General features: G+C 38.2%; 1 protein-coding gene across 14 annotated transcripts in view; it reads right to left on the bottom strand.

Moving 5' to 3' along the window:
* MYO1B (myosin IB) overlaps nucleotides 1–17,990 on the bottom strand; it is a 179,983-nt gene that overhangs the window by 95,520 nt on the left and 66,473 nt on the right. Inside the window, exon 1 of one of the 14 annotated variants that reach the window (XM_017004158.2) lies at nucleotides 7,973–8,067. The exons of the other annotated variants lie outside the window; for them this stretch is intronic. The gene's annotated coding sequence lies outside the window, so the exon portion shown is untranslated. Of the gene's footprint in view, nucleotides 1–7,972; nucleotides 8,068–17,990 lie in introns of those variants that run through there. 14 annotated transcript variants of the gene reach the window in all.

Here is a 17,990-nt window from a genome sequence, read left to right as displayed (position 1 = left end):
ACAAGCTCCTTAAAGGGCCACTGTGATATGCTTTTGGAAAGCAAGCTATCACCTTTTATTTCCTTTGAATTCTTAAAATCCATAAATAAATAAACCCATCCATTGTGACACGTTACCTTCTTCCATGTATTCTCTATTAACCAAAATAGTACTGTTTTATTGTACTCTAATGATATGCTTTATTTTTTATATAATATTTACTATTTATATAAATAAATAATTTATATAAATTTATTTAATAAATTTATATAAAATTTATATGAAATTATTTATATAAATAATTTATTTATTTATAAACCCAGCAAGCTACATTTATGGGTTGTTAAACTAAAATCCAGGTAACTCAGACAAACAAGGAGAAAATGTTACACCACATGTCTAAAATTGGATAACGTTGAGATTTTTCAGGACCATACACTGAAGTTTCAATATGAGGGAAAAAAATCTTTTCAAACATTTGAAAAATATTATCAAATACCAAATAGCTGATGTTACTACAATAACTTAAATACAGAACTACTGCCTTTACAAACAAATGACTGCAACTCTAAGATCCATCAGAGGCAAAATTGGGTTTGCCAGGGTTTTTGTCCAGCCCAAGCCTCCCAAAATTCTAACCCTGCCTTAGGATGACAAAGGGCCTCTATCAAGTAAGGCCAGAGCAGTGGTCCTGTTGCTCTTCCCCACTTCAAAATTTACTAAAGTAAATTTTGCCCCTTCTAGCTAATTGAAAAAATGATTCTGACAATAAGACAATGTATTTAAAATAGGTAAAGTCCTCACTTCATTTATTAACAAGTATTTGTTGAGAGTCTACTATGTGTCAAGAAAAAGCTGGAGTGTAGAGACAATTAATGCTTGACCCCTTCTTTCAGGAGTTCTCCGTCAAAAGGAGGAGAGAAAGAGAAAGAGAAAATGGAGCCAATACATTAAGCCCAATGATAAAGGTATGTGCAAAACATGGCAGAACAAGACAAACCTCAAAGGGGTGGAGAATGGACTCAGAGAAACTCAAGAGGTGGAAAACTCAGTCCTAAAGAATGAATGAGCAAGACAAATGTCTTTTAGACAAAAATAAAGGCCAAAACATCATGGAGGTGGGGTGAAGGATTATGTGCAGTTCGATGTAGCTGGAAGGCAAAGCAAAGCATAATGAAGAGAGGATAAGAGATGAGCTGCGGAGAGAGATAGGCAGGTTCCAAATGAAAAACAAAAGAGCTGATAGGAAGCTTCAGTGCAGGATGGATAAGACAGTAATTGGAATTAATAATATCCAATTTACCATGTACCAGAACTGCCTCCAAGCTCTTTACGTTTAGTCATTTTAAATCTCACAACAAGACCAGCACAAAGCAAAGGCATAACTTGCTGAGGTCCACTGCCAGTGTGACACAGCAGGGCCAGAGCTAACGCCTGCGACTGACCACTGGGATAAAGCACCTTTGCATTTTGCATAGACCACAGGGTGACAAGGGTGCAGAGAGCAACCAGTCTGCAGCCAGGAGACTGGTGAAAGACTGGGATACAGGAAGAGTGTATATTTGGCCAAGTAGATCACAGAGAGCTGTTCACACCAGTCAAGGACTTTGGCTTTTCTTCCAAAGGCATACGGAACCATAAATAATGACAATTTACTGAACACCTTTGATGTGCCAGGAGCCCAGTAAAGTGTCCTAGGATTCACAATTGGACTTAATCTTCAACACAGACCTGCAAATTAAATGCTAGCCTCCTTAAAGAAACATGGTCTTAAGAGATGACATGAGAAGCCCATGATCCCATTCTCAGAAGAGTCATAACTTGAACCCAGAAATACTGTGAATCACATTCTTCCCTCTCTCATCATGTTCTCCTACAATTATTTGCCAGCATATCTTACCTTCCAGCTGAACTACTGTGAGATCCTCAAGGATAGCCACCCCTAGTCTTATTTTGTAACCTTCATATCAGTGAGTCTGCTGCCTTGCATATAATAAGTACTGTATACTCTAAGTGCATTTGTTGAATGAATGTATGAATAAAACGACAGACAGAAAAAAAGTAATAAAAAGATCCTGACACCAGGGTCTTTTTTGAATAACAGCTTGTTCTAGCTTGTTCCTTTGAACAATGTGCACTGATCTCTGTCTCTCAAAGGCCTTTCAACCATTCTCTACACAACCAAAGCCTTGCTCAAGCTTCACAGCTGCTTGTGGCCTTAGCCTTCTCTCACATTCTGATTCCCCAGTCTGTGCACCATTGCATAATGGGGATAGTGGAAAACAATGAACACAGAGGCAGAAAACATCTCAGATGCAATTCCCTGGGCCCTATAGATGTATCTCAACACCTACTTGACTTCAAGCAAGTCATTACCATGGCTGAACTTCAGTGTCTTCATCTCCAACATGGAGAATGTAGCCACATACTTTAGAAGATCAAATAAAAGTGCATACAAGCACTTTGAAATTTATAAAGCCCTGAATAAATGTCAGAAAATCTTTGTGTGTTATAATTAGTTATGTACACACCTTCTTATTCCCTACCAGAATACAAACTCCTCTAGGGCAGAGCCTTTCTAATTAATCTTTATGCCATGTTTATGCCACAGAGACATAAACATGAAATGTAACCAATACCAAGTCATAAATGAAGGGATGGATGAATGAGTGGATGCTCTCGAAGCAGTGGCAAAGTCCCTACTGGAGTGAGCTCCATGAAGAATGATAAACAATGGGAAATTCATTTCTTCTATGACCTTCATGTAGGAAAGGAAAGCATTGCTTAGATTTTTTTATGAGCCTTCCTCCCCTTCTGCTCCTCCAATGTTCAGATAATATTTTGAGATGCCACTTTCATTATCATCATTGGCAAGAAATGCAGGAAAACACATTACAGTAAATACAAAAGAAGTTTTCCAATATATAATACGTACTCACTGAATTCTTCATGTATTGTTGAATACAGACCTTTTTCCCATGCTCCTAGGGCTACAACTTTGCATTATATTTACCACTGGTTCCAAAATAATGCAAAATTACTTCAAAAATGAGTAACATATATGGCGCGCGCACACACACACACACACACACACACACACACACACACACACACACATATATACAAACACAAGGCTTTGGAAGATCACCAAATCACCCTGTTGTGAGTTCATTTTAACTCAAAGAACCTAAGTTGAATACTTATTTTTTTCTTCTCTATCCAGGCTGAAATACTTAACTGCTGTCCTCAAAGACAGGGTCTCATTCATCTAACAGAGAGTATAATTTTAATAGAAGACAAAGGCTAAAAGGGATTTATTCTTTCAGGATTCTAGAGAGCCACTGAGTTCAAAGTGACGTGAAAATTTACCAATTAAAGTACTTAAGCACTGGAAAAATTTGCTTGTAACTACTGGCATACCCATCTCAAGGACAGTATAAATGTCATCAGACTTATTTCTTATAAACACAGATCTTCAATTTCTTTAAAAAAACAAGGGGTGGGGGCAAAAGGGAGGGCCCCAAAGAACACAAACCCCCTCCCAATCTTGTTCCTCTCCCTCTCTGGCAATAAGAGCACGTACCCATCATCAGCTCCAACATTTATAACTATAAACTGAAACCACATGCCAGTCTTCCAAGCCACTCTGTAATTAAGGAACCTAAATAAATCTTTAGAGAAGTCTTTAGTTAAAAACGGTTGTGACCCATATGCTTCACATTATTTTGTGACCGTGTCAGCATTGTTATTTACCACACAGAGAAATGAATGGTTAATTATAATATAATGACGATAGCGTAAGGGAGTAAACACAGTTTTAGTCCTACCACATTAAGGGCATGGTTTTATCCTCTTCTTCTGTCCTCTAGTTGAGCTCTAAGAATAGGGTCAGCCCGATGTTTAAAGGCCATCTCCCCTTCATTTCCAGATCAGCTACACGGCTGTTCTTTGAGAGCCAAACTTTCCCTAGCACTAAGTATGTTTCCAGACAGCTGTATCTATCACTTTTAGGTTTTAGAAGTTTGGTTTGGGGCTCATCTGTTATTTTCTGTCACGGTGGAATGCTGGGTTGCATGTTCACAATTGTCTAGCTGGTATTTTTGTTCCTCTCCCATCTTATTTCTGTTCAGAGTGTTCGTCAGAGTGGTTCTGCTTTCATGGCCATCAGACACAATGGCAGGGCTTCTTTTCCCAAAGCTCCATGTTCTCTACCCTGCCATTTCCTTCCTAGGTTTGTTTCACCTCAAGTGCAAAGCAGAAAAGATGTCTGTGACACCGAAATACATCCAAAGCTTATGTTCTTTCAAACATGGCCCCATGTTTCAGCCTCTCCAGCTCTTCCCTATAGAGTTGCTTGAGAAATCATTCTCCAAAGACAATCTAATCCATTCTGAGAACTGGTAGTTGGACCTCTCCATTAGCCAAAGTGTTTAACAGAACTAAATTTGTCTCAGGAAACTTACCTGAACTTAGATAACTGTTTCTACCTTCTTATTTCAAGTCATTTTCTTCAAAAGCTCTCAAAATGGTATTATTCCTTTTCATTTAATCTTGAGCCCTAGAGTACTTTCAAATAACACCAGGAAATTCTCCTTTGGAATTCAAACCTCTCAAAATAGCTCAGTCTCAAAATTCCCATCTACAATTGAGATATACAAGTCTCCACTATTTCTTTTCCTTACTAGCTCTGGTTTAGTCCTAAAACTGGGTGTTTCTAAACTAACCCCCAAAAAAGTGTTTTTTAAAAATGCCTAACCTCCATGTGCTTCCCCAATTCTAACTTCACGCTAAGCCCAATCAGGATTGAGGTGGTCCACAAGGACATGGAAGAGAAGGAAAAGGAGAAAGGGAATTATGTATGGTGTGTTTTGCATGGAAACCTTGAGTTTTCTTAAGGAGAGGCACTACGTTGGCCTTCCTTATATCTTTATATCTATAATTGTCTCATATTCTTAATTCAGAAACATTTGCCCAATTGGAAAATATCCCCAAGTTGACATTTTGATATCATTGTCAAGTTAGTGTTATGCCCTTCCACCAGACATTCATCTTATCACATCTTAAGGTAAAACTTTAGGGAAAATAAGTCTTTATAGTTATTTGTACCTTTATCCTGGAAGGCTTCACTGCAGTCTTGTCCTATGCCAGTATAAGCATGGTAATTTAATTTATGTACACATTACAGTTACCCCTGCTAGCCACAACACTGGTAAACATTCCTAAATAGTCCAAGCTTCAGGGCAAGAAAAGGTAGAAAAGCCTTTCAAAATAAATGACAATGGGCAAAGTGTGCACTATGCAGTAAAAAGAAAACAATGTGAAAACAAACATAACAGATGGGACTGGGAGGAGATGGATGGTAAATATACCTAAATGGTTGGAAGGTTTCTACATTTCACATAAAGTGGGACAATGTTAACTCTATATGGATTCTAAAAAGTTAAGGTATATTATAATCCCTAGGACAACCCATGAAGAACTATAGCCAAAATAACTAAAAAGTAAATGGAATTATACGAATAAAAAATTCAAATAATCCAAAAGAAGCCAAGAATAGGGAAACAAAAAACAAAGAAAAAAAAGAGGGAAGAAACAGAAATAAATAATTGAATGACAAATTAAATCCAACCATGTCGAATATTACATTAAATGTCAGTGGACAAAATACTGCAATTAAAAGGCAGAGAATGTAAGAATGAATATAAAAACAAGAGTCAACTATATGTGCCTACAGGAATGACATTTAAAATATAAAATCATAGATAGGTTGAAAGGAAATAAAATAGAAAAAGACATACCATACAACAACAACTTATTTTTTTTAAGGCACTGCACTTTTATTTTTATACATCTAATCTCAAAGAAGTCCCTAGTTGCCATCCCAATATAACAAAGATGCTATGCCATAGCATGACAGATGGCAGAATGCAGGTGAAAATTATCTTAGAAAATGAGCTACAATCATTTTTTTTCCAAGACTGTTTTATCAACATGTAATTTTCTAATTTCATTTACATTCTTATATCCTAAACATAAGTGGCCATGTTGCTTTCCTTTGGCTACATAACCGGAAAAGGATTGTTTTTACTGGCTACAAAACAAAAATAATATCATCAAGATAAGTCATTTGAAGATGACATCTGTTTTAGAATGACAACAGTAAACCATCAAATAAAGCTTGAAAGTCAGGCTTTAAAATAAGATATGATGAATATGCATTTTAGTTTCTTCTTCCTTTAGAATCATACTTGTTTTCAAAACACAGATCTCACAATATTTTTGTGAAATTTCATAGATTACTTAGGTCAGCCTCAACATATACCACGTTTCACATTTTTTAAAATGGGTCACTCAAAAATATACTTTAATCCTGGCAGTCAAATGTAACCACTAAGGAAGAAAATCATACTATCTGAATGTTATGTGTATATAAAATGGTTCACATGTGTTACGATGTTTTAAAAACTAGAAATCCCTGTGTAAGACACCTTCAAAACAGAGCAACTCCATCTTGAATAGGGACTGGGTAAAATAAAGCTGGGACCTATTGGGCTGCATTCCCAAGAGGTCAGGCATTCTTAGTCACTGGATGAGATAAGAGGTCAGCACAAGATACAAGTCATAAAGACCCTGCTGATAAAATAGTATGTGGTTAAAAAAAAGCCAGCCAAAACTCACCAAAACCAAGATGGCAATGAAAGAGACCTCTGGTCCTCCTTACTGCTCATTACACACTAATTATAATGCATTAGCATGCTAAAAGCTACTCCCACCAGCACCATGACAATCTACAAATGCTATGGCAACATCTGGAAGTTACCCTACATGGCCTAAAAAGGGGAGGAACCCTCAGTTCCAGGACTTGCCCACCCCTTTCCTGGAAAACTCAAGAATAATCCACCCCTTGTTTAGCACATGATCAAGAAATAACCACGAAAAAAGCTAACCAGCAGCCCTTGGGGCTTCTCTGTCTATAGAGTAGCCATTCTTTTGTTCCTCTGATTCTCTAATAAACTTGTTTGTCACTTTACTCTGTGGTCTCACCCCAAATTCTTTCTTGCACAAGATCCAAGAACCCTCTCTCTTGGGGTCTGGATTGGGACCCCTTTCCTGTAACACCCACATAATTGGACAAGAAACTCTCCTACTTCAGCATTAGAATAAATAAGCAAAGCTCATTATTTCAGGAGTTCACATCCTAGTTACAGAAAATAATCTAAAACACAAGGGGTAGTTTTCTTTCAAGATTTTAGAACTCTTATTTGTAATCCTTGTGACAAAGAAGCTTAGGGACACCCCAAAATTTTTTCTAGCCTGGAGGCCTGACCATTATCAAATCATAATGGACATCCTCAAGTCTGCCCCGCCCAGGACCAGCTTGCTAAGAGTTACTCAACAAAATAAGCACCTTTCCTTCTATTGGACTGGTAAGAATGTGAACTGGGCCAAAGAGTGACTCTTTTTCAAAGGTGGATTGCAGAAGCCAGGTATTGGAGACACACATTAGGAAGCAGATAAGGGATTTAGAGAGACTAAATTATCCCAGGAAGGAAAAGGACTGAACTTAAGATATAAAAGCAGAGAGAAGGAAACATCTGTCTTGAGGGCCTGGAAGCCGCTCTTTGGAATTTAGTAGCAATCCCTTGTGCTGCTGAGGACTTCCTTCTGAAACTTGCTTCAAAGAAAACAGTACCTAGAAATGCCCTAGGCATGAAACCACCACAGGGGGGAAAGTTCCCCATAGCGGAGCATCCTGTTGGGGTTTGGCAAGAGGTCAAAAGCAAAAAGGCTAATTCTACTTCTTTATCTGCCCTTGCTACTGCAGGCTGTTATCTCACAAATTAATGAAGCATGAATGGCTTCCACTGCCTTGATTTAATCCCTTAATAACTGAAATGGAAGAGTATGTGGAAGCAGGGGTGAGGTCATCCAGAAGAGCAGGGCTCCCAAAGGATTTCATGGATACTCATGAGGTAAGAGGCGTTGTACTCACTGTGAGGGCTCTGAGGATGATGATTAAGAGAATCTGTCATCTAGAAGCTTAAAATCTAACAAGAAAGACATCTAAGTTCCCCCATAAAAAGGGGGTAGGAGAAGGTAATAAACATATCTGTAAACTCCTAAAGATATTCAGAAAAGGAAAAGATGACTTTTACTGAGAGACGCATGTCATGGAAAGCTGCAAAATCTGAACCCCAACGCATATGCAAGGAAAGAGGCTGGGAGGAAGCAGACAGCAGGGAGGAAATTATGCTATTTCCCCTGTCCAGAAATTAACCAAACACATTGATTTGGAGAAAAGAACAAATATGCAATTGGGGATCTTAATTCAAATTCAATAAGCTCTTAAAGCATTTTTACTATCTCTTTTAACAAAAGAATTCTAACAATCACCTTTTAATACCCAACTCTTTTTAAAAGAATTACACAGCTATGGTCTACAAGAATAGACTTTCTGGCTCACTTTAAACAAATTCCCAACACAAATGTTTCCAAACTTTTTGGCAAAAATGGCTTATTTCAATTAATTTCATGATCGATTTTTATGACTTTGTTACAGGCAAATAAATCATGGAAACACCTATCCCAAGAGAAGTTACTCTACAGACCTTGCTAATCACCTTTACAACTTAATGCTAAATTTAATGTTGCACTTATTAAAAAGAATGGTTTCTGCTGATTTTTTACAGACAGATGTTCCCTACTGATTTAAAGCCTTAAAAAGCAGCACCTCATATGCCACTTTTTCTTTAACTTAGAAACACATTCTGATCTAAAGTACGTCATATCCACATCCCAAACAGTTAGACTGCTTGGTTAAGTGAAGCTTTCATGTTTACAAGAGTCAAATGTAAAACACTCTCCTCTAACTCTGACAGCCCCCAGTGCCCCATCTGCCCTAGAAAGCACTGTGCTGGGGACCTGAATAGCACCATATACTGTGGAAGTGCAGAGATCTGGCTCAGGTTATCACAGAAGGCAATAGGCAGAGATGCCATTTGAACTGGAACCCCAAGTACATACTGTCTGATTTTTTTTTTTAATGCATAAAGGAGAGAAAATGGGCAGCGGTAAAAGGCTATCAACTTCTTCAAGCTTTGGTTTGTGCTTGAAGCCTCACAGGGCTGTGCAGAGGATGTCTATAAAGTACCCTTGGTCTGAAATGCAGCAGGTGCTCAATACAAGACTAAAAGGTATGTGGGGGCCGAATCTGTGGGTGTGCCTTACAGAATCAAGGTCATCAATCTATTCATGTTTAGGAAAACCAAATCTGTAGCCATTTCATGGAGTGGCTGCAAAATTCAATTAAATCTACCAATATTAATGAGATGCCTGAATATAGACAGATACTTGCACATACATACACACAGACCACTGTGTATATACCATGAAATGTCTGAGCTTGCATATATTATTGTGCAGAAAGAAAAGTGAATTGGCAAAATAATAAAAATAAGAATAATAAGAGTCTTCCTTGTTAATAGCTAAATTCATATCATGATACTGTAAAGAAGGAAGCATTCTGGGAATAATTTTAAGATAATTCAGTACTCCTTAATTCAATAAACATTTTATGTGTCAGGAGAGTGTCAGGCAGAGGCATACAAAGGATACTGTCCCTACCCTCAGGAGCTCAGTTTACAGAAATCATGTACTATCTAACTAGAAAATAATTTAGTGATGTGAGGACAAGTCATCTGGTCCGTGTTGCCTGTTGAAAACAACAACAAAACCTTTCCCCAAAGCATGAGAGGAATACTAAGACCAGAAAAAAGTTTTTGTGATTAAAATTTTGCTTTTCTTCTTTCATCCAGCCACCCAATACCTTCCAAAGTCACCCTTTCCTTACCATCACCAGCTTGCCATTGTCTTAGAGGAGTCTCTCATTTTTGGCTTTCAGGAACCTCTTAATGGGGATTTCTATATCTAAGCAAGACATTTTCACAAGCCATCTTGATACAATGCTGTCAAAAAATGTAGTTTTTTTCATTACCATGACTCCTTCTCCATTCCTAATCTTGTCCCCCTTGTAGCCAGATTTAACTTCATACATTTAAACATTTCTGTAAGAAATTTGTTAGAACTCAAAGCAAAATTGTATCAGTTCTGTCCCCCAAAACTATGGTTCAAAGGAGTACTCTGATTATAAGTATAATGCATTTATTTTGCTTAGGCACCAGAGAGATAGATGTCTTAGCAGCAGTTCCAAGGATTTTGGGGGCAGTCTTGACTGACATGATCCTAATGTGGTCCGGAGGCTCAACATCCTGCCATACCCAGGGTTTATGATGTACCTATTCAAACAAGGTTTGCAAATTTGTAACAGAGATAAAATGTGGAAACCCTTCCTCTAGACTTTCAAATAGAAAACAAGTAAGTTCCATCATGACTTAGCCAAATCCATGTCTTAATTTTAAAAAGAAAATCAGTGACTCAAAAGGACATCAGAGGACGATGATTCAGACCATGGAGAGAGAAGCCCCGTCAGAGACTGAGCAGGCTCCAGGCCTAGAGTGACTGACAGCTTTCTCTGAGAGGACTGTGTATGGTCAACATAGTAGGGCTTATGTGAGTGTGTCTTCCAGATGGTTTCCACTCCCATTCCCTCCCTTACCCCTGTCCTGGTTGCCACTCTAAGTAAAGGGTTTCAACAATAAGGAAGCTCAAGATGCCAAGTCTGTTCTGCACATTATTTGAGATTGCTTATGTTTATGGTGTTTTCAGTGCTAAAGTGTCTGCATAACAAAATGACTTCAAAGTAGTCACACAAGAATGGGTAAAGCAAAAATATCATATACCACTCGGCCTGCAGGCTCTCTTCCCTGCAGCCCTCCTCTTCCTTACTGGAGTTAGCCTAAAATGCAAAGAGGCCACTCCCTCCCTCATCAGTTTACAAGCTTGCTATGCTCTCCACCAATCCAGTCAGAGCCTGGCCCTGGACTTTAGGCAGGGAGTGACTAAACAGCCATGCTTTAAGCTATGTGACTGCTAGAGGAAGATTTAACATTGGTACACAGAAAGTGCCCTGACACAAAGGGTTTCAAACAACTCTTGCATGCTTCCATCACACAGACAGTGCTGCTTCAGAACACATCCAAATGCACAGCACTCAAATACTGCTTCAAGTGTTTTAAGTCATGTCAATACATCTCAGAAGTGGCTACAAGAAAATGACTATGTTGAAATATCACACACAGATTACATATATATTTTTTGAGAGAAGCAAACACTTGGATCTGCAAGCAGGAAGTTGGTATTTATTACTACGTATCTGCAGGGGCTTAAAGTTATCTGATAAAAGACTAGAGACAATCCTCCCAGAACAGCTGGGTAGAAGCGAGAGACCTTGGATCGGAACAGAGACTGCTTCAGGGTAATCTGGAGACAGGCATCAGGTCCTTGGGAGCTCTACATAGTACACATATTTTTATTACAAAATATAAGCTTGATACAAGCTTGTACCTTCAATATGAAAGCTCCATTTCTATATACTCAGACTGATTTCTGGTTACCCAGAGAGGTCAAAACCAAGCAAGATACACTCATACAGAATCAAATCCTAAAAGCTTGATTTCTCACTGATGTGCTACAGATTACAAAGCAAGCAAGGCCCTCCTCTAGAGCTGGCCCTGCTGTTTTTCCTGGCTCATTTCCCTGGAACTCCCTGCCTCTCAGCTCGCTCTAGGAGTCCCTTGCCTGTACACCTATAAAATCCTATTTCTACATCTATTACAGCCTTGTAATATGGTGTGTAATATGTTGTGTTTTAAGTTTGGGAGACTTTTTTTGTTTACAGTTTCTTTTGAGAGTGGGAATTAAGACTCACCATCTAGTGCCTAGCACAGTGCAACACATGGTATATGCTCAGAAAAAAACTGGTGTAATTAATCCTAACATCACCTTTTCTCATATTCATGCAAAAAAAGAAATAAAATTAATGTATGGCATTTTCAAAGTCTATGTTTGCTTGCCAACTATTTACAAATAACAAAGAGGAAATGAAATAAAATGTTATTTCAGTAGACATATATAAGTGCACATTCATATGCTTACAAAGAGCTCTGTGGGTTTAAAATACTCGAAGAATTAAGTTAAAGAGGAGTGAGGCTCTATTTTATACTCTAGTTAAAATTTTTCATTTGGGTTATTTGGATTCAGCAATTCTCTCTAATGCTGGTCTGTATAAATTCAATGTGAAGACACAGGCAAACAGTCACCTAAAATCTCCTTTTAAAAGTCAAAATGTGGGGTGGAGGGAAGGGGGAGGGACAGCATTAGGAGATATACCTAACGCTAAATGACAAGTTAATGGGTGGAGCACATCAACATAGTGCATGTATACATATGTAACAAACCTGCACGTTGTGCACATGTACCCTACAACTTAAGGTATAATAATAATAAAATTTAAAAAAGTGTGATTACATTTGCACTAGTAACATTGCAGGCCCTTGCTAGTTCTTGAACTAAGGAGCAAAGGCAATTACAGCCTTCTTCAGAGCTGGCTAATGAGAATATGCTGCTCCTATCCCTCCTACCTTGCTTACAGTCTCCAGCTGATATGCCCTTTCGTCTCCAAAAACTGTTGGTCAGTTCTCTAGGTCCCCTTTGAACAAGTATCACTTTTATCCTCATTTCCTTCTTGAGTTCTATAGCGGATGTATCCAGTGCCTACAATCTGCCAACAACTGTGCCCAGCATTGGACAGGATGCAAAAATAAAAACGACGCTGCACCTGCTCTCCAGATACTCAAGTCCAAGGCTCTCCCTCCATCATGGCTTGCTAAAGCTACCAAGAGCTACCTATCACAGTCCCCTTCGGCCTCCGCAAATCAAATACGTCCTCCTCCAAAGAAGGATTACTTTCAGTGTTCCGAATTTATGTTGAGAACAAGTTTTCTGCACCAACAAAATCACCGAAACCTGCAGAGGTGCGGCACTCAAAATTTTCCTGGATCAATGAATACATCTTCAAAGACTCCACACGTTAAATCTTCCTAAATTAAATTGCTAGAAGACTGCCTAGAAAAGCTACAGTGACAACCCTCTGCTCACCTCCATGCCATTCTTGCCACTGAAATCTGACATGCTGTCACATCCAATCAACTCAGTGACAAGTCCTAGGATGATGCCAGAGGACCCTCACTGGAGCTTTCTATATGCCAATGGTAGGCTTGCTGACAGAGAAGAAAATCTACAGAGATTTGGAATGAAGGCACATGTCTCCAAAGATTTTAGTGCTAAACACCTGCTAAAGGAAGACATCCCTAAAATTTTTATAAATTGTCAAATAGGAAATGCCAATTTCTAAAACTATTCTAGACTAGTAGTTCTAGCTTTATTGCTTAAAGGTTAAAACACACACATACACACACACACACTCACTCACATATGACTGTTCTCTTCAAATATGTGTACTTCAAATACCTACTGATTGAGAAAACAGCAATCCCTACAATAACTCCCGAGGCCCAAAGACTGGGAATCATTATCATAAATCAGTTCCAGTCTGGAGAACTTTCTATTTATCATATGACTTATGGCCCCTAATCTCTGTAGAAATCTCTGTAGAGATGAGGGGCCATCTATTCAAACAAGTCTAGGTTTGCTTCCTAAATTTTCATAAAATGAAGGCAGACCAATCTATTAATGAATTTTAAAATTAAGGATCTTTTATTGGCAGTGGAAATTGTGTACTCTAAGCCCTTACCAGAGAATAAAACCTCCAATTATCTGAAGACCACCTTTAATTCAAAGCCCATTTATGAGAAAACAGAAAACAAATAAATGAACACAAAAAACTTTCACAGAACTACAAGGCACCTGAAGGAAATATGCAATCTATCTGTTCCTTGTACTCTTTAATTGAGTCAAACCATCAATAAGCTCAGCACTTGTACCTATGGTTCTCATCCCTAGATGTATACTAGGCACCTACGGAGCCGAAACCTTGTTCCCCTTCCCCAACCCTATAGATTCTAAGGGAATTCTGCACTGGTTCTAACAGACAGCCAAGGGTGACAGCCACTTACTTATACCTCTTATAGATTTGCTTTTCCTAAATCTAAATCCTTATAGATTCGCTTTTCCTAAACTGTGCTTTGGTGTTATGTCCGCTGCTTCCACTTAGTAACATGAGAATTAGCTATCTAAAATGCATTACTAAGTTTTGGGAGGTGTTGTCATGATGACACCCTTCACATAGTCAGTCTCACAGGAGAAATCTCTTTGAAATCTAATTGGCAAAGAAAACTTTGCTTCTTTTGAGCAATGCACTTTGGTCTTATATGCAAAAATAATGTAACTGATCACATTTCCCTTTTTTGCTTTGACTACCAGGAAATGAAAAGTTCAAGTTCAGTAAGCTTAGAAGATGTCATGGTATTAACTTTCACTGGGGTCTCATCTATTTTCTATGTTTCCTTTGCTCTGAGTTTTAGAAAGCTATTTATTTTATTACATTGACTATAAAATACTAAGCTGCCTTTGGTCAGCTTACTGTGCAGCTTACTATTTTGAATAGTAGGGAAGATAATTTTGAAAGTGGGGAATATAACAATTAATTCACATTGATCTTCACATGTATCTGAACCATAAAAACTAAAAAAGGCAATTGGTATGACTAAAATATATGCACACAAGAAGAGCTTTGCTTTTAGGGAGGAGGGGAAGATGGATGGGAAGATGGATGGGTGGATGGATGGATGGATGGATGGATGGATGGATGGACGGACGGACGGTGGGAGGATAAGGGGTGGGGGTGTGGATGAATCTGCCTCACAATATACAAACCACCCTTATAAGAAGAGCTAAAAATTTGCCCAGATAATTTTTGTTCATTCACTTACACCTGTAACATTTGCAACTCTTACCAAATCTAGAAAAATCTTCAGTATGCAAACAGACACACACAGGTTCAGCAGAATAAAAAATCTACAATTTAAAAATATAGCACCACTGAGTCAAGAGAAGCTTTGAAAGCCTATTGCCCTGACTCATATTATGGAAATAGGAACTCTTAATGCATTACGCAATAACCTGAAACTTCCCCATCTCACCTGCGAAAACCCAATATTCTTCTCCTTTCTTAACAAAAATATTCTTCTGTAATCTTTTCTAAAATTTTCATATTTCTTCACCTTCTATCTTTGACTATAGTCATATGTGGAAAACGAACTTAATTAAAGTTGTCCTTAAACACAACTTTAAGTTCTTGAATATAGGGGAAACTGACTTTTATGTATTCATCACCCATCTGGGAAGAGTTGAATCCAAAAACATTAACATTGCATTGGCTTAAGTTTCAAAGCTGGTTAGAACCATTTTACTGAAATTCCCAATGGATGAATATGTGAATGAATATAGAAGAGACCAACATCTAATTTTCTAATAATTCCAACAGACATATTGGTTCCAAGAAAATCAGTAATATGAGAATTGGAACAAAGATGGATCTACTCCAATAAATTACCAATGCACTAAAACATCTTCAAATAATCACCAATAATCACATATCAACTATTTCTGTAAGCAATAGCAACCAACTATAACACTATTAGAAAAGTCTTTATTGATAATAAACCAAAAAGCTACTGAAGTCTGTTGAACAATAGTGTGAAAGAAAAAAAGTAACAACAGAAACATGAAAAATGGATGAACAGTTTTACTTCTGTAGAAATGCATTCAAATAAAATTAAACTGGAAATGTGGAAATTCACCATGATTACAATTATTATTTTTTAAAAAATTGAAAATATGTTAAGAGGTCTTTCATTCTAAATTATACTACTGAACTCATGTTTAAATTCACACAGAAGCTTGCTTTACATGGTATCCACAAGTTAAATTACCAAACAGCCAACAACCTTACTGAAATAATCCTAGCAGACAAGAGACCATGTGATAAATTAACTAAATCCCATTCCATTCTCCCTTCCCGGGCACAAGAGGAGACTGTATTTCCCAGCTTCCTTCGCAGTTAGGCTGGGCCCATGTGACTATGCACTGGCCAATGAAGATCTTATCATGCTCTCTCTTCACCTTCCACAGCAATCTTAAAAGCCATGTGGGCCTGGCACAGTGGATCACATCTGTAATCTCAGCACTTTGGGAGGCTGAGGCTGGTGTATCACCTGAGGTCAGGAGTTCAAGACCAGCCTGACCAAAATGGTGAAACCCCGTCACTACTAAAAATACAAAAAATTGCTGGGCGCAGTGGCTCACGCCTGTAATCCCAGCACTTTGGGGGGCCGAGGCGGGTGGATCACGAGGTCAGGAGATCGAGACCATCCTGGCTAACACGGTGAAAGCCCGTCTCTACTAAAAATACAAAAAATTAGCTGGGTGTGGTGGCGGGCGCCTGTAGTCCCAGCTACTCAGGAGGCTGAGGCAGGAGAATGGTGTGAACCCGGGAGGCGGAGCTTGCAGTGAGCCGAGATCGTGCCACTGCACTCCAGCCTGGGCGACAGAGCTAGACTCCATCTCAAAAAACAAAAACGAAGACAAAAAATTAGCCAGGCGTGGTGGCGGACACCTGTAATCTCAGCTACTCAGGAGGCTAAGGCAGGAGAATTCCTGGAACCCGGGAGGCAGACGTTGCAGTGAGCTGAGGTCGCACCACTGCACTCCAGCCTGGGCAACAAGAGTGAAACTCCGTCTCAAAAAAAAAAAAAAAAAAAAAAAAAAAAAAAAAAAGCCATGTGTGCCAGATATTATAACTACAATATAGAAGCAGCTTGGATATCTGAGTAACCATTTTTAGGAGAGCCTCTGAGAAAACCCAACAGACCCCCATCAAATTGTGTTTCATGAGAAACAAACCTTTGTTGTGTTATGCCTTGAGCTAGGAAGGCCTGCCACTCAAAAATAACCTACCTTATTCTGACTAATCGTTCCTTATACCCCCTTACAAGGTCTCAAACACACTCAGACTATAAACTCAAGTTTCATTTCCAATAGGTGGGAATTTTGTCAGTAAGCAGCACAGAATAGCTGAAGGCTAAAAATAAATATTTCCTGAATACTTACTATGAACCTAATGCCAGGTCTCCAAAGTGAGGTGTGGGCATCCCAGGGCATGCCCAAGATGAGCCACTGGAGTACAAATATAAACATCAGAACTTCTATTTATATTTCTGTATTCATCACTTTTTAAAAATTCCCAGTCTTGTGTATGTTTTATAACACACACAATACATTGGATGGTGTTACCTGACAAGTTAACTATAAATAACCAAACACAGGCAGATTTTAAGACCACTGATCTTGAAGCAACAAAGTATCCATGTATAGTCCCTCTTCCAAAGATGCTTACTATTGTAGAAGTCTAATACTTAAATAGGAAACAATCAATGAGATACATAAGATAAATAAAAGTCATATGATTAATAAAAATCATATATAAATAAAAGGTCATGGTTGTGACAGAATGCACAATATGGACCATATGTGTTTGGACCACCAAGTGGCCTTTAGAGAAGAGGCTTCAGAATGGAGGTGGTTTCCCATATACCGCAAAAGATGAGCAGGATTTGAATATGTGGAGTGAGTAAAACAGAATATAGACCAGAGTGTCTGTGAAAGAGGAGAAATGAAGCAAACAGTGGGATTTCAGAAACAGTAGGCCACAAGAGGCCAAGTGAAAAAAAATGTATAACTGATCACTAGCTACAAATTTATCGAACTCAATTTCTCTATTTTCACAGCCAGAATTTTTAATTAGCGCTGGCTTTAATTTTAAGAGTCCTATTAAAGATCAATGCAATATATTTGTAAACATCAAAGAAAGTTAAAGTCTCTAAATATAGAAAAGGACAAAGATTTTCAAAATTTAAAATGCATCTATGCTACCTAAGCTATGCCTGTAAGACAAAGTATGACATTAACAATCAATCATAGATATAATATTCTTATAATAAAAGTTATGTTAAGTTACGGAAAGGAGGCAAATGTTCAAAGTGTTATATATCATTTTCTACTTGTTTTAGGAACAATGACCAACACCCATGCAC

Source organism: Homo sapiens, chromosome 2 (assembly GCF_000001405.40).
Source record: "Homo sapiens chromosome 2, GRCh38.p14 Primary Assembly".
Taxonomy (NCBI): domain Eukaryota; kingdom Metazoa; phylum Chordata; class Mammalia; order Primates; family Hominidae; genus Homo; species Homo sapiens.
The sequence above is the reverse complement of the archived record's forward strand: the minus strand, read 5'-3'. Positions and strand labels throughout refer to the sequence as shown.